Source organism: Homo sapiens, chromosome 2, assembly GCF_000001405.40.
Source record: "Homo sapiens chromosome 2, GRCh38.p14 Primary Assembly".
Taxonomy (NCBI): domain Eukaryota; kingdom Metazoa; phylum Chordata; class Mammalia; order Primates; family Hominidae; genus Homo; species Homo sapiens.
In genome coordinates this window covers 80,607,108-80,628,212 of record NC_000002.12, presented here as the reverse complement: position 1 = coordinate 80,628,212, position 21,105 = coordinate 80,607,108, and the positions used below count along the sequence as shown (strand labels likewise).

The window sequence follows — 21,105 nt, the reverse complement described above, 5'->3', positions numbered from 1 at the left end:
GCATTGAATCTACAAACTACCTTGGGCATGATGGCCATTTTCACAATATTGATCCTTCCTATCCATGAGCATGGAATGCTTTTCCATTTGTTTGTGTCCTCTCTTGTTTCCTTGAGCAGTGGTTTGTAGTTCTCCTTGAAGAGGTCCTTTATATCCCTTGCAAGTTGTATTGCTAGGTATTTTATTCTCTTTGTAGCAATTGTGAATGGGAGTTCACTCATGACTTGGCTCTCTGTTTGTCTCTTATTGGTAAATAGGAATGCTTGCAATTTTTGCACATTGATTTTGTACCCTGAGACTTTGCTGAAGTTGCTTATCAGCTTAAGGAGATTTGGGGCTGAGACGATGGACTAAAGACTTAAATGTAGGACTTAAAAATCATAAAAACCCTAGAGGAAAACCTAGGCAATACCATTCAGGACACAGGCATGGACAAAGACTTTATGACTAAAACACAAAAAGCAAAGGCAACAAAAGCCAAAATAGATAAATGGGATCTAATTAAACTAATGAACTTCTGCACAGCAAAGGAAACTATCATCAGAGTGAACATGCAACCTACAAAATGGGAGAAAATTTTTGCAATCTATCCATCTGACAAAGGGCTAATATTCAGAACCTACAAAGAACTTAAATTTACAAGAAGAAAAAAACCATCAAAAAGTGGGCAAAGGATATGAACAGACACTTCTCAAAAGAAGACATTTATGCAGCCAACAAACATATGAAATAATGCTCATCATCACTGATCATTAGAGAAATGCAAATCAAAGCCACAATGAGATACCATCTCACACCAGTTAGAATGGCGATCATTAAAAAGTCAGGAAACAACAGATGCTGGAGAGGATGTGGAGAAATAGGAACGCTTTTACAATGTTGGTGGAACTATAAACTAATTCAACCATTGTGGAAGACAGTGTGGCGATTCTTCAAGGATCTAGAACTAGAAATACCATTTGACCTAGCCATCCCATTACTGGGTAAATGCCCAAAGGATTATAAATCATTTTACTATAAAGACACACACACACACGTATGTTTATTGCAGCACTGTTCACAATAGCAAAGACTTGGAACCAACCCAAATGCCCATCAATGATAGAATGGGTTAAGAAAATGTGGCACATATACACCATGGAATACTATGCAGCCATAAACAAAGAATGAGTTCATGTCCTTTACAGGGACATGGTTGAAGTTGGAAACCATCATTCTCAGCAAACTAACACAAGAACAGAAAACCAAACACCGCACATTCTCACCATAAGTGGGAGTTGAACAATGAGAACACATGGACACAGGGAAGGGAACATCACACACTGGGGCCTGTCAGGGGGTAGGGGGCTCGGGGAGGGATAGCATTAGGAGAAATATCTAAAGTAGATGACAGGTTGATGGGTGCAGCAAACCACCATGGCATATGTATACCTATGTAACAAACCTGTACGTTCTGCACATGTACCCCAGAACTTAAAGTCTAATAATTAAAAAAAAGAATAGATTTTGATTTCCATTCCCCAAATTCTTGCTTACTTCGAATTGAATCTTATAAGGGTAATTTAATTCTTATTCTTAGCATCCTGTCTTGGTTGCTCATCTAATATTCATTTGCCCTTCTCTTTATTTAGTGGCATCTCAATCTTAATCAGAGCAGCAATGTGCTGAGCTAAAACATTGTGTTTACCAGTCTCTCTTGCAGCAAACCATATGTATGGTGATGAAAGTGGAAACTGAAGAAGGGCAGAGGGGTGGAAGTTTCCAGGAAGCCTCCTTAGAGGGTACTAACATAGCTAGGAAGCACCTGGTTTAACCCTCTCACCTCTTCTTCCTACATGAAAATTGGAAAGGTGGAACACTAGCAGTCATCTTAGACCAAAAGATGAACTTGAGAATAGATGGGCCATAAAGTTAGGAGGTGTCAAAGTCCTTGATGACTCTGTGTTCACTCTACTCTCCCTGAACTACAGACAGATGTATTCCATGTGAGAGAGAAATAACTCTAGTTGTATGTTTCATCATTTGTAGTTGAAACTATATACAAATTTTTAATACAATAGTGGGCATTAAATATTTAGTAGACTTAAGTTAAAATATTTCATATTTATATATAATTATATAACAATTTGTGTGTCATAACCTTTGCATAAGGGGGCAAATGAAATCAACCATGTTACTTTCAAATTTCTTTTTACAATAAATTACTAATTTGATTCATTCAGCTTTTTGGGAAAAAATTCTGTAGGTTTCTATGGCATAATCTTTTCTTAAAAAGGGTTTAATATATCTGAAAATTTAACAGAGTAAATTATAAAGAAATTAAGTTAACTAGAAAAATAATTGCATTTAATTACTTGATTTTTGGCCCCAAATCCTAGTTAAACAGTGCATTTCGAAATCTAGCATTTGAAGTCAGATGCTTTCACATAGAAATAAATGAATGAAAGTATGAATGACTGATAGACTTCAAAATCAATTATTGGGACTTTTTGGGTGTGATAACTCACTACAATGGAAGAAAGGATGATAAAGAAGCTAATGTGTTAAGCATAGATTATGTGTTCATTATGCAGGGAACCAGGGAAAAAAATGAGCATTCAAACATATTCCCTGTTATAACTAGCTTACAGACTAGTTGAGAGAAATATAATGACATTTAAGTGTCATACAAAAAATGACAGAAAGAGTACACCATGCTGTTGGAGAATATCAAAGAAGTCTTCCTGAAGCACTAGTGTGTACCAAACACTGACTTTGTGACCTCCAGGAAGTTTCTGAACTCCTCTGAACCTCATTATTCTAATATTTTCAATGGGGATGATAGTATTTCCTCCAGAGCACAATTGAAAAAACATATTTCATAGTGCATTTTAAATGCTTCATACAATGCCTGGCACATACTAATCCTTCAGTTTATGTTAATGTAACTGTTGATATTTTGATATTTACCATGGGCAATTATCCCTCTGAGTAGCTATTGCTATTCTAATAAAAAGCAAAAGCCCAGGGAGGTTAAGAATGTTGCCCAGTTTCATCAATTGTACAAGAGAGTTGGTTTCTAAATTCACACCTAATAGCAATATCACTCTTATAATTTTAACATTATTTAACTTATATTCTTCAGATCTGTAACAATCAAAACCACATAGCTGTTGCTGTTCTCTGCTTGGCATTTATTTAGGTAAAAGAATAGGCCTTGAGGTAAATAATTTTGCCTGGAACATCTTTTTAGAACCACCCAAGGTTGTATTTGCTTTAGTTGGTGTAACAAGGGCAATGACAGAGCCACAGATCATTGGCAAGAGATATCTGTAAGAACTAAAATTAACTACATATATCTATATCTAGATACCTAGATATAGATACATATATCCTTAGGTCGTCAACCTTAGTTTGTTCACTTAATGGCAGGCACTGCCTCCTACCAGTCAACTGATTCTAGAAAGTGACAGTATCTATACCCAAGAGAAGACACTGAAATTAACGGCAGAAAACAATTAAAAATAGGGTTCCCCATCAATCCTCGACTTCCAAACAAAGCTATTCTCAAATAAAAAAAATAAATACAGAAGATTCTGGCAATCTGGAAATGATACGTTGTATGCAAAGCAATTAGGGGGCTAAATTAGAATCAATCCTTGTTGCTGTGAACTAAGACTCACTTTCTTCTCAACCAGGGCTCATTTTCATGTCTCAGTAAAATGTAAAATTCCTTTCTAGTATCTCCCTCTCCTTAGGTCTTTTACCACTTCTCTAACTTTCTACACAGATTGATGGGTGTAAGGTAACAGCTGTTGTTCACGAAAAAAAGAAAAACAAACAACAAAGAATTTAGCACTTGTAAGTGACTATTGATTTAAACATACATAATTAACATTTTCAACATAGACCATATAGGTCATATACTGCATGGGCATGAAAGTTCGGTTCTTCCAGTCATGATGAGAATGCTGACATACACGTTTTTTTTCCAAGGAAGTTCACTTAATTAAAGAAGTCAAATGGCCCTACAAAAGAATACCATCCCCAAACAAATGTTACTCTGGATTATTGCCCCTATCTCTTATCTTGGCACAACTTGGAAGATGTAGAACAACTTAGCTTCAATCTTCATTAACTCCTTGTATTGGAGCATGACAAAGAAAAATGAAGGATGGTCTCTTGAATGTTTACAGTTTCTTGTCTCACTTTCAAGGAGATTCAATAGCATCACTGATTATTTATATTTAATAACCATCTTTCTTAGTTCTCATGCTTAACCACAATTTAAACCAATTTTCTTGAGAATATGCTTATACTACCCTAAACTATTTTTCCCAAAATCTTTTAATAACATGATACTTTAATTTTTTACTCTGAAACTGCTTCTAACAACATAGAAACAGAATGAGTCAGTTCTGTTGCCTTGCAGGGATTCTAAAACTTTGGTGTGAAAATGAATCACCTGTTGTGTGCTGGGGAGTGGGATGGGGTAGTTAATTACAGACTCCAAGAACCTACTCCCTACCATTCCTGATTCAAGAAGTTTTTGCAACATGGCCCAGGATCGTGCATTTTAGTAGTCTCCCCCAAACCCCTTGCTTAGCTGGCATGCAGATAATCCTGATCATTTTCAATGCTACTCATTAAACTCAGCATGGTCAGAAGAATTTCTTTGATGTCCAACACCAACCTCACATCTTTTACTTTTCTCCATCTTTCCAGCCCTCTCTGACATTTTCAGCTTCAGTTATCCTGGAATACTTATATACCTCAATGTTATGGATGTTTCGTTTCTTTTCTGAGATATTCCTCCCTCTCCTTCCACCTGGAAAACTCCTATTCAGTTATGTGTGAAGGCTCAAAAAAAATTACACCCCTTTATCCTTTTCTACAAAAATGGTCACAATATGTCTTTTAAAATGATTACTATCATCATAGTTACTAGTTCACGTGCTTGTTTTCCATGCTAATTCTATGAATGCATCATACGTAGAACAGGGAATATCCCATATTACATACTCAATGAATTTGTTGAATTATAGCTCTGACTGATGCTTTATTTCTAAAATGACCTCCAGAGACACTTAGGAGGAAGAAAGGAGAACAGTTGTCATCCTCATCATTTTTCTCTTGAAACAAACATAATCTAACTTCTGCTTGAACTTTTTTTTTTTTTTTTTTTAGAAACTAGCGCTAGTAGTCTTGCTTTGTTAAACTACCTTTGATCATACTACTTCACCATCCCCAAACAGAAAAATTTAGCCTTTGAAAGTGATTTCCTGAGAAAACAAATTCTAGAAGCTAATTCTGATGTCACAATAGGAAATTAGAAGCCATGTCACTGGGTGATCTAAACTGAGTCCTTGTTTACTTACTAAGTTCTTATAATCTGGTAAAGGGGCTAGGTAACAAAGCAGTTCTAATCGTGGAATTCCAGTCTTTTAGAATGGCCAAGGTAATAACTTGGAAGAGACTCGAATGGCAAGAAATACAAAAACAGTTTTCCCTACGTGAGGCAAAATATCCACCGCAAATCTTCTGCAAGTCTACAGCAACAGAGAGGCTTTCAAATTAAGTGTTCTTCGTCAGTGTGAATAAATCATACCCAAATCAATAACCTATTCCCAAGAGTATATGGGAAGGAGACTTGCATAATCATGTTCAGTTTTACTTAGTGTTAAAACCTTGTCAATATTGGCTGTTAAAGGATGGAGAAACTGATGTTATTCTTGCTTAGTGCCCAAGGAAATTGTTTGCTTTATAAAGTCATCTTGGTTACACGGATTCTCATTAGCTGATGGACATTTCCATCACCATCTGACGTTTCTAAATCTGTTAATGATACCCCCAAATGATGATCTCTTTCCACTTTTATCACAATACCAGAATATCTCCAAGCTAGAGTCTTCCTCTTTCCTTCCTCTGCCTGTTATGTATTTCTCTTGCATAGTTGTGGCTGTGAGTGATCATGTGGAGTTTTGTGTAACTGACCAAATGCCTGCCTGATTATATCTTTATAATTACTCAATTCACTCACTTGCTGCCTCCTAAATTCTTCCAAAGACATGTATCTCCTCTAGTACAGTCAGCATATGATTTAGGGGAAAGGGGTTCAGAAAAAGTATGAGGTTGAACTGTAAGCAATACATTTTGATTTTGACACATGTCATGTCTGAACACAAGATATATCTTCAGCTCCATTTACAATTCTGTGGTCTTGAAGACCTGGAACGCTTCCCTGTCCTTTTTATATACAATAACACAAACATCTAAACCGTTCTGTTCTCAGCTAGCTAAAAGTATCAGCTTTTTATAAGACTCCCCAGTGCAATCCAGCCCACCCAGGCCACAGGGATATTTATTTTGGCACTTACTGTATTCACTTCCAAGTCGGCACTTGGCACATGTACAGACTCCTCAAAGAGGTTGCACATTCCTCAAATTCAGGAGCAAGGCTTTACACTTTTTTATCCCCCATAGTACATAGTTCCATACTCACCAATTCCCTACTTATCAACCCTTCCAAAACCACCTGGGATTTCCTGCAATATTACATAGGTAATTTTAAACTTTGAAGCCCCAGTAAGATCAGCTACATCTATTACCTAGTAAATGTTTTTTACATCCCCAATAATTAGAATAACACAAAGGTATGGAGTTAAAACATGAATCGGTCTTCCAAAATCATTATGTAGCTACCTATCATGGATTCTGCCTCTCTTCAGGTATCAATTTATATATAACTTTCTAAGTGGTTTAGATTTAGCAGATTAATCAAATGACGTTGTCTATTTAAAAGAAATGGCTCAGCCACATCTATTATTAACCAAATAGCAGTATATCAGGTAGGCAGCACATTTTAAAACCTTGTTTAAACTGAATGTTTTTTCTGGATTTAATAATTGTATGTACAAAATAAAAACTGTATTTCATCAACTATTCAGTCATTTTCTCATAAACCATTTCTTCAATAATATACCATAAAACCATAGATTTTTAGAGCAGGGATGCATTAGAATATCTCTTTTTGATCATCTACCATCATTTTACAGATGAGAAAAACTGAGGCCCGAGAGATCTAAGTAATTTGCTTTGAGTTACCTAACAAGTCAAGCGCAGAGATAGAACTAGCATAGCAAGTGTTCAGACCCCAAATTAATGCAACCTCCACTCCATTTCACTGTCTCCTTTAGAGCACAATATATGTATGTATTTTAAAATTAAACTTTTAATACATACGAAATGAATTTAAAAAACACTGAACATCACTATAAATGAAACATGCACATGAAGATAAATAAGTGCATGCACAATGCATTCCATGATAGACTCTCTGAATTTGCACAAGCGCACAACACAACCGTTCTTAACTCACGAAGTTTAAAGATGATTGTGTCCCAAGGGTTTGAAAATATGAGCATTTCTTACCTGGCAGCTGTATGAGGGGTTGATAAAAGACATTAAAAACTTGAGCTATGATTAGACATCAGATTTTTCTGTCACTGAAGGTTTGCTTCTACCTGGGTTTCAGGGGTCTAGTACTTTTAATGGAAGGTAGGTCAGAGACTTAAGAGGGATAAACCAACATATAAGACTCTGGCATTATTGCCCACATTGCAATATTAAGTTGCCTGCAGGGGACTGTCATCAAAATCTTCCTATTGGCCAGTTATGGCCCTACCTTTCTTTATCAGGCCTGAAATCTTTACTGTTATAGTCACTTATTTAGGTTAGAAAACTTAGGTATCAAATAACTTCAAAACCCATTCCCCAGCCCCAGGGTACTAAAGAGGGCAGTATCAGCTGTAGTGCTTTTAAATATAAAAGTGTATAACTTTGGGGGTCAGGGATTTATGCATAACAAAGAAGCCGTTGATGAGACAGAAAGGACTCTTCATTTTTAAACCGAAACCAATTCTCCAACACAAATGTTCATCATGGCTAGCCAACCAGGGATGTATATTTAGGAAAAAAAAAAGGGATGATACCCTCTTTATATATTTTATAATACTCATAATCCACACCAGGATGCTTTCATCCCACCCTAAGAAAAAAACAGGGTTTCACATTCTGGTGGTCAAACCCTTCTAAGAACACCCACCCTAGTGCTTTGATATCCCTTAAAAAGTCAACCACCTCCATGAACTCCCTTTACCCTTTTATACAAAAGCTTGCATCTTGATAGTTTTAATAGGTACCCAGGAGAGAACGAGGAAAGAAGTGGAGAAAAGTGCCCGCTCCAGTTGATCTTTTCTTTCTAAATACTAAGGCATATAAAAGAACTAATCAGCAATATATAGAAACCCAAATGAAACAATAGCAGCTTTTCATGCCTCTTAACTAGCAAGAGACCCTATGAAACAGCATCAGGGTTAGGACGTGCAACAACAAAAATGGGTAGTAAATCTGGCTGTGACACCTTGAAATGGCTGTGACCTTAAACTTGCAGGAGTTGTAACTTTTTTCAAAAAATGAACATTTTAGTCACTGCATTAGAAAGCTTTTATTTGTTAACACCCAAAGTATTTGTTGATAATCCTCATGTATCATCCTCATGCACATTTTAACCTCCACAGTTTTAGAAGGGCCCACTGATTCTCATGGCAAACATGAGTAAAGGATATTTCATGACCCTGAAATCTTCCAAACAAAGAAGAATACATCCTTCTGACTACCCTTCCTTAGTGAAGCTCACAAAGAGACTATAGAATGGATTCATTCCACATATGCCATGACTTTCAGTCCCAATGGGAAGAAAGACTGAGAAATAAAGAAATAAAAATACCTTTTTCACTTCTCAAGTTTAGACCACAATTGAAGATATATCTGTGCTGTGGAATTTCTGACCCACATAAAGAATAAATAAGTCCTTTGCCCAAAGTTGGTTAATATTAAGAGGCCTTCAGTGGGCACATTTTTATTTCCCTAAAATCCAATCCCCCCTGCCTTCAGAATTCATGATTACAATGAAAGACATTAGATTAGAAAGTCAATTTACTCACCATGGAGGAATCACTGCTTCCACTCCCGATCGGAGCTCCCTCAGCACAGGTTGGGAGGTGGGTAGAAAGTTGACTAGCCCTGCCCCCATCTATGACATCACAATCTACCTCATAAAAGGTAGTGAAAGTGCTCTGAACTCCTGTCTGATTTCCGAGAGATACAGAAAAGAGAGAATGAGAGAGAGAGCAAAAGAAAAAAAAAAAAAGTACCCTACTTGGGAAGGGATTAGGGAGTGGAAGAGGGAATGGGTAATTGGGAAAAAAGAGGTATATGAAGGAATTACGTGCTGAAAGAGATATACATATGGGCTTTCTTGACATTAAGCGGCCTGGCCATTTCGATTTCTCATTGGCTCTTGAACAGATAAAGGAACCATGTGGGAGGAGAATGAAGATGCACCCTGCCTTGTCAGGCACTGAATGGGACAACTATAGTGGGGCTCAAAGGGGGTGAATCCCCTATTTAAAGTGTTGAAGATCACCAAGAGAGAAGGCAAGGGCTGCAGCTCTTAAAGCCTGGAACGGTATGTGGGGATCCCTGATGTCTTTCTTGGAAGTTCCATCGCCCTGCTGTGTGACCTTCCTTAAGCCTTTGGCCTCTGCACATCCAACCTCTGTACATGGTCCTCTACTAAGGGGATACTTACCTCTTTCATTGGGATCACTGAAGGACTAATGCATTCATTGTTGCTACAATTGCAACTCTTTTGACTGTTCCTTTTAACCCAAGGGTGGATTGTGTGAGGGGCATAATTTAAAGGATAAGCCAATAACCAATGCCCTTTTCTACCTTTAGAGTCTTTTCATAAGATTCTTTCAATATAAAATGTTACAATCTTGACTTTTTCTGCGTGTATCAAATATACAACTAAAAGGAGTAGTTAGAGTTCATCTTCAGAACTGTAGAAAAAATCAAATGGCAAGTTTTCTGCAATCATAAAAAAATGCACTGTCACTCTCAGAGGTCAAGTTACATGACCCAGTGATGCCAACTGACCAAAATGTTTTTGTCATGGACGATTTCTGCTCTAGTCATAGCTTTATTTACCAAGTCTAGTTTTCATAGAAAAACAAGAAAAGGCATGAGAATAGTATGTAGACCACTAAAGTATTTTTTTTCAATGAAAATTTAGGAGTTTAAAATAGAATACTCAAAGTTATTGATTATGGCAAAACAAAAGTAACAGACACTATTGAAGAGCAGGCACATCCTGAAACCATCCACATAAAAGGCCTTCATCTGACTAGTGGAATACATGAAAAGTGAAACCATCTCTTTCCACAGAAAAAAATTTAGGAAACCTAGACATTCAAAACAATAGCTTGCAAATTATGGCATCATAAATGGCTAAAAACCAAAGCCTGTTTCTATATACAGATAAACAAAAATCTTAATTTGGGATTTTTCTGTTTTAAGCCAATATAATTCTATTTCTAAGCCCATCATTCTTAGCGTACTAAATACATAAGTGTATTACAATAATTGCAATTTAAAATTAAGCAAAATTGGCAGATGAGAGAGCAGTTTGAAACACAGAAGCTACTAAATTCAAACTGATTATGGATTTGGCAACATCATGTCCATTTTTCACTTCAAAATAAATGTTAGAGACATTTAAAGAATGTCTTTAAAGAATTAAAGTAAATAGAAAAGAAAAAAAAGTCTTGCATATAAAAAGATGGGTGTTTTGCCTATATTTGACTTTTTCTGTACTTAACAGAAGAGGCAATGATACTCTGCATATATTTTCCTTGCTGTATCATTTATTATTTTTATTTTCAACAATTCTAAGTCTAAATTCAAATTATATATTCAACAGCTTTTTTTGTGTGTGAGATTTTGCAATTAATGGCCCTATGAAGTTTTATTTTCTCTCCACTTTTACATATTGGATCATTGACTAGTTGGCTTATCTTTGATTTTTTATAACAATCTCATTTGGTTTTATAAGTTAGGGATTTTCTGATTTTTCCCATTGTAGGAAATAAATTAGTCACTTAGCACAATTTCTCAGTTTTAAAAATTATTACGTATTAGAAACTTACTTGGATCATCTCATAAAAAATTTAAAGTTCATTAAGATTAATGATGCAATTGTCCATTCTTCCAATAAACACCTTAAGTTTTTACTACCCAATACAGATGGTACAATTCTCCCAGCATTAAGATATTAAAATAAAAATGGAGTTAAACACTTTTAAAATATTGAAATAAAACAAACTGAACTTAGATTGTCTATTGGCATTTCTTATAATTGCCTATTGTCTCTTTGGAAATGGAAAATGACTTCAGGAACCCAATGCAAAACTAGGCTGCATCAAAAGGATGCAGAGTGGTGAACTGTGCTGACCTCTTAGGTGAATTTAGTATGATTGATTGTGATATTATAATAATGCCTTTATATATGATATTAGTTAAAATAATAAAACTGCCTTTGATACAGGATGCAATGCCAGGATCAGATAATTTCCAAATCTCAGGATCTAGCCTCTTGACATTTTTCATGAAAACTAAGCTCTACTCCAACTGTAGATTAGCTGTATACTTCCCATGATATTTCAGAAATGGGTAAGTAGCCCTTTAAGACAAGATATGAAGTGTTTGCAAGATTTCAGTAGTCAAGACTCCATTATTATAGTCACGGTAGTAATTTCATTCTGACCAGACAGATGTAGGGCTGGTCTCAAATCTTTGAGGTTAATAAAAAGTTGTTTAGCTTCTTAGCACAAAAGATTGAGAAAAGTCAGGTGGAATAACATGTGCATTCCAAAAGAACAATCTGCAGATGCATTCATCATGGAAGACAAGGTCAGGCATTTTTTTCATGTAAGTTGATCAAAATGTTATAATTGAAGAGAAATATCTCAATAAGAGGGGCTCCAATAAATGTGGATAGCAGCAGATTCAAATTGGAAGTTCTCGGATAAAGAGATGTTTTGATTTTGTTTTATGGTAGCGTCTCACATACAGAAATTTGGGCTGACAAACGTACATGGTTCTTAAAAGACGATGTTGACCATAACTTCTCCAGGATATTCTCAGTTGCAAAAGAGATTTGCCAAAGAAAATGGATGAAAGAGGTCAAGAGACAGGTTGTTCCGATTTGACAGGACATCTAGCCAGAGTTCCAGTCAATTTCATTATCAGCAAGGCATCTGCACAGATGAAGGTGTTCAGAGAAAACTAATAAAACAAGATACAGTATTGATGATAAAAGAAAAGATTAAAAGTCTGAATTAAGAAAGCTTGCCTTCAAGAAAATAGAATTAGGATGAAGTATTTGAGATATATTTATAGCCCAGAAGGAAAATTACTATTTAAGATAGAGTAAGACAATGTGTTCCGATGCAGTAAAAGAAATCTGAACAAAGAAACTCCACATTGCCCATCCGGAAACTTTCTTATTTGTAAGATACATGGGCCATAAAGTGGCACATATTTCTTTTCTAAGGGCTGCACTCAAAGTCATATTTTATAAATGATTTAACTTAGGCTGGAAAAAGCACTTGACAAAATAATCTGCAGGGACAGAATGTAGACAACAGTAAGTTAAACACACTTTTATTTCTAGCATATAGTAAACCAAGAAAACAACGAATGCACAGAAATAGCCATCAACAGATACTCTGCTATTCTAGCTGAAAACCCTATTTCAGTAAGCTGAGAAACTAAATGGAAAAAAAATAAACATAGACTACACAGTCTAATAAAAACACAAGGGACAGAAAAATTTATCCTTTTCATGAAAATTATTTGGTATTAGAGATAAAGAGACTTTAAATTCCCAACTCAGTCAAAATATATCACCGTGCCTTTTACATAGTAGGGATGCAATGGAAATGTTGAATTCAGTGAATGAATCAGAAAATATTCTTATGTGAACAACAAATAAATGCAGCTCTTTGAATCTCTGATTGTTTGCCATTGGAAATTAGAAACGACTTATGGAAACTGATGTATTTTAAGAAAAATATTATTGTCAAAATGTTATCAAATCCAGTACTGAATAAAAAAATCCTGACTCAGTTTTGCTATGGATTCTATCTTATTTTTAACCAGCTAAGGTAATGGAAAGATGTGTAAAATCAATGACAAAATCCCCAGATAATCTTTAGCATATGATTTCAATATCCCTTCTCTTTTGCCTATTCACATTATATCACCTTGTTCACATATCAACTTTTTTCTTCAACAGACTTCAGTCCAGGAATTCCTGGGGTAAGCCCCAGTAGAAACAAGAAAAAAAAAATCACAATGCATTTAAGTAACCAATTCTAAATAATCTGTTTCTTGACTAGAGCTGAGAACTGAAAAATTCAAGTGTTTACAGGGGCTGAATTTACAGACACCATTTCTAAATAAAGGTCTTCACTCAACACTTTGGCTTCCCATAATTATTTGGTTCAATGTAAGGAAACATTACATTGAACGTATTTGGATTTGCTCTTACAGATCCAAAACTGGTTCAAAACTGGGGAGAGGGTAGCTTTTAAGACACTTCTCAAAGCAATAATAATTTGAAACATTATTTGAAGTATTTTTAAATTATTTAAAAAAAATCTTGGAATGAAATCAGACTATTCTCATATATGAACAAGTAGTCAAAATTAGGATATGTCTTATGGGGAAGCTTTATAAAATAATACTTCTTAAATAGGTTTGTCTGGGTTTTACACATATCCCAAGATACAGTCATCCCTTGGTATCCATGGGGGATTGGTTCTAGGACCCTAGCAGATACCAGAATTCAAGGATGCTCAAGTCTCTGATATAAAATGGCATAGTATTTACATGAAACCTACACACATCCTCCTGTATACTTTAAATCCTCTCCAGATCACTTATACCTATTATGATGCAAATGTTACATAAATATTATATAAGTACTACATTGTGTTTTATCTGTACTATTTTTATTGCTGTATTGTTACTTTTATTTTTTTCCAAATATTTTCAATCCCAGGTTGGTTGCATTCTCAGATATAGAACTCACAGATACAGAAGGCCAACTGTATATGCAATCACCTCCCCTCATCCAGGTACCTCCCATGTGTCCAATTTCCAAGTTTTCAAAAAGTATTACTGCTAATTGGCTACTAAATCATTCTCAGAATATCAACTGAAATCTAAGGCATTAATTGATAATAAATTAAGTTGTCAATTATTTACCTTTCTTCTTTTAATTAGAGCATCTCAAAACTTGAAAAAATTCTAAGACCCAAAGGAATGAAATTTTACTGATTGAATGACAAGTAATGGCACTGATATCTCAGGGGACACTCTTCTTAAAGCTACTAACTCCTGCTGTTACAAGCAGTAATGCCCTCAAACTAAAATAGAAATTACTCGTCAGCCCACAAGTTTAGGTGACACAATCAAATCCATCCACAGAGTAGTAGATCGAATTAAGGTCAATCCATGTCTCCAGTTAAGGTAAGAAGAGTTATTTGCTTGATTTGCATCCTAGCTTTGCCACAACACAGTATGTTTTCTTATTTTAAAATGAGTATATTGGAACATAGTATTTCCCTATGCATTAAACAATTCAGTTAGATAACCAACTGCTTTAATTCCATCAATGAATAACTGATTTTTTTTAATGGCCATAACTGATTATATTGGTAAGTTTAGGGTGACCATCACAGAAAATGTAACTGAAGAGTCACTTTCTATAGTGGAGCAGTATACCAGACTCCTTCGTACAAGACTGTCTGAATTCAGAGAACAGACACAGGTGCAGTGCAAAAGACACAAAGCTTTCTATGATGCCCAGCACCCAAAGAAATTTTTACTTTCTCATTAAAATTCCTATTAACTTCCCATTTCTTCCAAAAACAAGTCTTGAATTGGTAAACTGTCACTTTTAACACTCTGGGGGAATGAATGTTCAGTGAAAAAAACCATAGAAAGGTTATTTCCCTCTGAGGGTGTCTATAATTTGGGTTGTGCAGAAATCAATGACCATTCATACTGGTATGAATGTAACTAAGGAAGACTTAATGCAGGAATCAGAATTTAAATGGTTATAGTTTCACTATCAACAGATTGGGGAATGGATTTTGGGGAAAATATGGAATCATGCAACAACTCATTTTACTAGCAAAGTATATGCAAAGAACTACTGCCATTTACTCTGTAAAAGGTAACTACTCATTTCATTTGTCACAATTTCTCCACTATGCCTAACATCCAGATTTACAATCTGAAGTTTGTTTTTATCTTACTCTCTCTAGGTTTGGACACTGCAACTTTTCCTACATAAGGGAAGGTCCTTTAAGCACGGAAGGTCTGGATAAAATTATTTTGAACTGCTATGAATTCCTAGAACATCTACCCTTTTGTTCAAATGAAACACTAACATGCATTCCAAACCCAAATTGAAATAGCTAGCACTTTAGATTTTTTTCATTACTGTTACACTTTGATCCATGGAGATCATGAAGAATTGACTATAGACAAAATAGAAGATATAAAAATTAAGAAAAAAAGGTTGCTTAATGTACAGGTCTACACAATTAGATGCAATTCTTGTTTCAATGGCTGTTTTAGCTCATTACAAAATACTGGCACTTTTTAAAAATAAAAGGAACACAACGCTCTTCAAATACAATGTAATTCTCATCTCAACAAACCATATATATATTATTGTACAAAATATATCCCACATTTTCTTTTCCCTAATTTGTATTGGATCAGATAGTTTATACTTATCAATCTTGTTCAGTTCCTGACCACTTCACTAAGGTTTATTGAGGGTATAAGAGTAAATATCAAATCAATTGTGCTCTGTGTTTGTATGTTTGTATGCACATATGCATCTTTGAATATATGACAGTGTCAGGTAGAGTTGATTTGAATATTATCAGTTTCCAACATTTTTAGGAATGTATATTACCTATATCATGAATATTCATGTTGATTGTAATTAGAGTCCAATTTTTTAAAATAATGTGAAACGTGGGCAATAAGAATTACTATAATTGACCCCTCAGTCTCCAATCTTCTCTTTACCAATTCAAATCCTACCAGTGTCCCAAGTTAAACTTGCTCACCTTGTCAAACCTCTCCCCTAAACCCAATTGAGAGGAATTCAGATTTGGAAAAGAGATATTTAAATGGCAAAGAACAAAAGTACATATTAGGGCAAGCTTCTCAATCTCTCAGGAATAGGTCAGTAATCCATTCATTCAGCCCAAGGACTTAAGCAACTAGCATTCCTCACCTCCAAACTTGACTCAAATATTTTGTTAATACAGAGACATTTATATGTAATAAAATCTATTAAAATTTGTACCATTTTTGTGTACATTTGGCCATAAATTACATCCTGAACATTGAATTCCTCATCAAAGTAGGGTTATTGCTGTTATGTTCTGACTTCATTGTTATAATGAAGCTCCTGTTATCTTTTAACTTTAAAAAAACAGTTTAGGTAGGCTTTATTAGGTTTATCAGAATGTTTGATATTCAGTATGCTAATTTAAAAGTCCTACATTAGTATTTCTAATATTGTTCAGAATCATACGCTCTGTATAAATCTTTGGGTAGCTAAAAAATATTAAAGGTCATGGAATGATTTTTATTTTTCCAGATCCATGTATACATCTCCATTTTTAACTTTAAAGGTGCTGATTAAACCCTGTGAAACCTAGCAAACAAAAATTAGTCAAAAACATGATAATTAAATATACAGGTAATACCCATATTATGATACTGGAACATATTTGTATTCAAAATAGTATTTACATACTAAAAAATATATGGCTTAACTTTTCTCCCATAAGATAATGCTGTCACATTTAATGGACATTACTTGCACTAAACTAATTCAAGACATGTTATCTTTAACTTTCTCTTTCTTTTTTCTTTTCTTCTACCTTCTTCTTTTATGCCTCTTCTCTTCTACCCTCCCCTCCCCTCCTTATCTTTCTTTCTGCTTTCAATATTCTTTTTCTCAAAAAAGCCTGTAAACTGGCTTAAGAATTCAAGCAAACATTAAACTAAGCAAATAAATAAAGCCAATTTATAGACGGTTTAATCTTCTGAAACTCAGTTTCCTCTACTTTCACTTTAACAATTCTATCATATTTTTTCTTTTCCATTACTCCCTTAGTAACCGGGTTAAGCTGAATTGGCTCACAAATGCATTTTCTACTTTGAGATTTAATAAGAATGTCACTTTTTGGTTGAGACAGGTTTAAGCCAATGACAAAAAAAAAAACCTAATTGCCAGGTAGGAAACCAATGGTATTTCTTAGATAGCAGTTGTGTGGATGAGCATACACAGAAACACATCCTGGACTGCTTTATTTCTCCAGATCGCCGTCATGATGCCTGGAGAGCTTTTGTATCCATTCTCCTCCGTGACCTGTTGAATTATCTGTCCCCACCTCTCAAGCCAAAAGCAGACACAAGACAAGAGGCCTTTCTCAGTTTGTATACATAGAATCACATAAAACAAAAACACGCTGACATAAGACATAATTGCGCATTTTGCTTAACATATGTTCATCATGCCAGCATAAGACTAAAAACGTGGCTCTCTGTTTTGACATCAAAATCATTTTTCTTGGCAAAATGGAAATAATATGTCCAAATCTCTTCTGTTTGGGTAGAGAGGTTGACTTCTAACAAATGTAACTTTCCTGGGGGCTTTCATATATTTCAGAGAAGCCGTGGCTTTGAATCCCATGTGTATAAACACAGGGAAAAAAGAAAGAAGATTTAAGTATTTCTTTTTTGATTGTACATTAAACTATGATGGCTTCTTCTGAAAAAAAACAGCAACTTTGCCATGCCACATGACAGAATAAATGGGTGTAATTTTCTTGGCAAAATCATTGAAAATGTGTGTGTATGGGGTCTCACATTCTTGACTCTTTCAGAACTTTGAAAGCAGTCATTTGTGGCTATTTTGCACAGTAAGCATATTCATTTTTTTTCTCCATTGGCCATCAGTGAAGGAGCATGAAGAAAAAGATGGAGGCAGAATTGGCAAAGACAGCAGACTATAGATGTAGGTGTGGCACCAAACAGCAATCAAGCTTGGAATAAATCATGAGGAAGCCAAGAGCAGGCCCATGACAGAGCATATATAGCAAATATTTATAATGCATTTGCCTCAGAATAATTATCAAGTTGAACAACATTCTTCTAAAAGAAGCCTTCTCCCATGCAAGGATTTATGAACTTTACCAACAAGACTCAAAGAAGGGAACAGGCTTCTTGATGGTGTTCCCAATCTCAAACACCTCTATAAAAGCCAACAGTGCAAGTGATAAAAGCCAGTGATGGTTTGGACTACATCTAAATGAGAAAAAGACAATGGAAATGAAGCTTTGGAGGCAGTGACAAACAATGGGTACTGAGAGGATGATGGAGAGCGGCTCTGCTAGTAAAAATTGCCCAGATGAGGTTGTGGAGTCTGAGATCCACAAAGATGCTTTGCGCATCCATGTAAATAATAAGATTGGAAAGTAACAAATGAAAGCACACAAGGCAAGCTGAACAAAAAGCACTCAGTTCCACAGGGGCTATATACAGATGGACATGAAAGCTGAGTGGTATGGGAAACTATACCATCAAGGCTGAAGATAAGAAAGGCAGCAAGGAAGATGCAATGATTTGATCACTTCTTGGCGAGAGAATCTTGGTAATTACCAGCTTGGCAGAAAGGACACATTGCAAGACAGATTGCTCTTGGTTGCTGAAGAATGTTGAAGCAGGATCATTTTGGAAATGCAAAGAGGTGACTGTGCTTTGGGAAGAGGCACAAAATAGCCAATTTACTGGGCTCTAGGTGGGACTGCATGAAACAGGCTTTCCAGATGGTGTCTCTATGCAAGCCAGATCAGTTCTTTTCCCAGCTATGTTTTCTGCAACTCAAACAATATGGGAACAAAAACAGTTGGGTTCAAGAATGATTTGTTCACGTGTTTTTACCAAATGGCCAAACTTCTAAATTTCCAAAAATGGCTTCAGGAAGACCTGAGCTTTGTGACTAGTCTGATTTTCATAAGGTATTCACCACGCTGATAATATTACGTGCCTGGTAATTACTCACTTGAAATGGTAGCATCATCATGTCTGACTGGGAAAAGAACTAAGGTGTCAGAGCCACATTTCTGGACTTGCAAATAATTTGCAACAAATGGCACCCTGTGTTGAGAGAAAGGGGTTGAGGGAGGAGAAGAAGCCAAGGTGAAGAACCTCAACACATATTTGGAAATCTTGCCAAGAAATTGTGATTCTTCTAAATATTCATTGAACTTATTTCTATGCATTTGATAAAAATGGACCAGATAATTATATTTTCATGAGAAAGGAAACACTGCAGTGATTGAGCAAAGAATATATAATTGTTAGTGTTCGACAATTATGTTAGTTTTTGGCAACAGCACATCAACCTGTATTAAATTCAAACATCTTCTGGCTTTCAAGGGTTACTGATAACCTAGTATGCATTGGAACCTGATGAATGAATTCCTATTGTTTTCATCATCTCTAACATGTGAACACAATCCACACATAGAGAGGCTGGCTCCTGAACAGAGAATGAAAATTACTAGGACTAACAAAAGGAAGTAGACTCACAATGAGTAAATATACAAAAGCCCCAAATAATTACAATAGTCACAGCTTGGCAATGAGTTTCCAGACTACAAAATTAGTTTTCTTGTGAAGAATGGAGATTTTACAAGGCTAGAATAAACACAGGGTAATTGGAAAATCAAATTGCTCTTTGTGAGTTATTGTAAGGTCTGGAATAATGGTGATAACATTTATTTAAAAAAAGCCCTCCCTATAAATCACTGTAGTTTGGTGTTTTTAGCAGTACTGTTGCCAAGAATGTTTGCCTTGGAAGTGCAACGGTGGGAACTTTACATTGTGAAGCCCAAGTCCAGCTTACCCCTGACACAATGAGCTCTCCTCCCAGATTCTGCACTTCTGCCTTCACCTTGCTGCAGATATTAAGCTGATGGCAATACAAGGCAATTCGTTGAAGGTAGGCTAATAAATCCTGCTTACATGCTGAATCAGGACACTATAAAACATTAAAAGAGTGATCTTGATTAGTAAGTACTCTTCAGTTTCTAACATTTGTTATAGAAAAGCTGCAGGAAGAAAAGTTTTCAGTGTCATATACCTTAATTACATTCATTTAACTTAACTTTTTCACAGTGCATTTTAGAAAGGCCACAGACTGTAGTTTAGAATGGTTGGCTCTACTTTAATAAAATTTTATCAGAAGAAAATTGAAGATATTCCAGAAAGTTTTATTGGGACTTCTATACATGTTTATGAGTATTTTTACCTGCTGTCTTCTAAACTCTAAAGAAACCTAAATATTTTACAGTTTCCTTCAACTTTCACTATGTGAAATGTTATTTTAATGCAGAGGACCAAAGGATGCTAAAAGTAAATCACTTTGTGTGGCACTCTCTGCCAAGCATAATGGACAGTTTCAATCCAGTTAGTTGGGGGAAGAAAATCAATTTGTTTCCTTTGTTCTCTAATAAATGTATCATTCACTTATAAAAAATCTATTACACTTTTTGGAATTTAATATTTATCAAAATGTAAGCAACATAATAACCTGCCTTTAAATGAGAGACTGAAATGGTTCATGACTACTGTAAGAAAAACAGATTTGACAGAATGTATCTGAAGCCAGCTGAAAGAAGTTCATAAGAGTAGCAACAGAGTCCTTTGATGGACGCACCGGAGTCAACTCTGGCTAAGGAGTTTGGATTTTCATTATGACCGAAGTAGGCGGGTGTCCATCAAGCACACACAGAGCTTGGCTGAACACTTCTAGAGACATTGACATGACTCCTGAAAACATTTCTGAGGCTTCATTGCCAATGGCTACCGAGGAATTGAGATGCCTACATATTTCTTTTGCTATCAAAGGTTCAGCTTGAGCTACTTCCAGGCCATTTAATTGTTCTGTATCAATTTGGTACTTGTAAAGGACATAAAATCACCAGATCCTTAATACTATAAGAAATAAGTACCTACAGCCACAACTGAAGTATCTTATTTAGAATGAGAGGATGGGAGAAAGACTCTGAGCTAAGTTTCCCTCAAGCTCAAGAAAGGAAATTCTTTTATCAATAC

At 35.5% G+C, this 21,105-nt stretch overlaps 1 protein-coding gene across 15 annotated transcripts in view; it reads right to left on the bottom strand.

Moving 5' to 3' along the window:
* The window catches only part of CTNNA2 (catenin alpha 2), a 1,463,404-nt gene that overhangs the window by 20,568 nt on the left and 1,421,731 nt on the right, over nucleotides 1-21,105 (bottom strand). For 8 of the 15 annotated variants that reach the window (XM_024452714.2, XM_011532556.3, NM_001282597.3 and 5 more), the window contains 2 exons: nucleotides 19,895-20,029; nucleotides 8,985-9,128 (listed from right to left, as the gene is read on the bottom strand). The exons of 1 other annotated variant lie outside the window; for it this stretch is intronic. In XM_024452714.2, coding sequence (XP_024308482.1) covers nucleotides 8,985-9,128; nucleotides 19,895-20,029 — 279 coding nt within the window. The remainder of the gene's footprint in view (nucleotides 1-8,984; nucleotides 9,129-19,894; nucleotides 20,030-21,105) is intronic. 6 more of the 15 variants (NM_001399737.1, XM_017003403.3, NM_004389.4 and 3 more) reach the window with 1 other exon arrangement.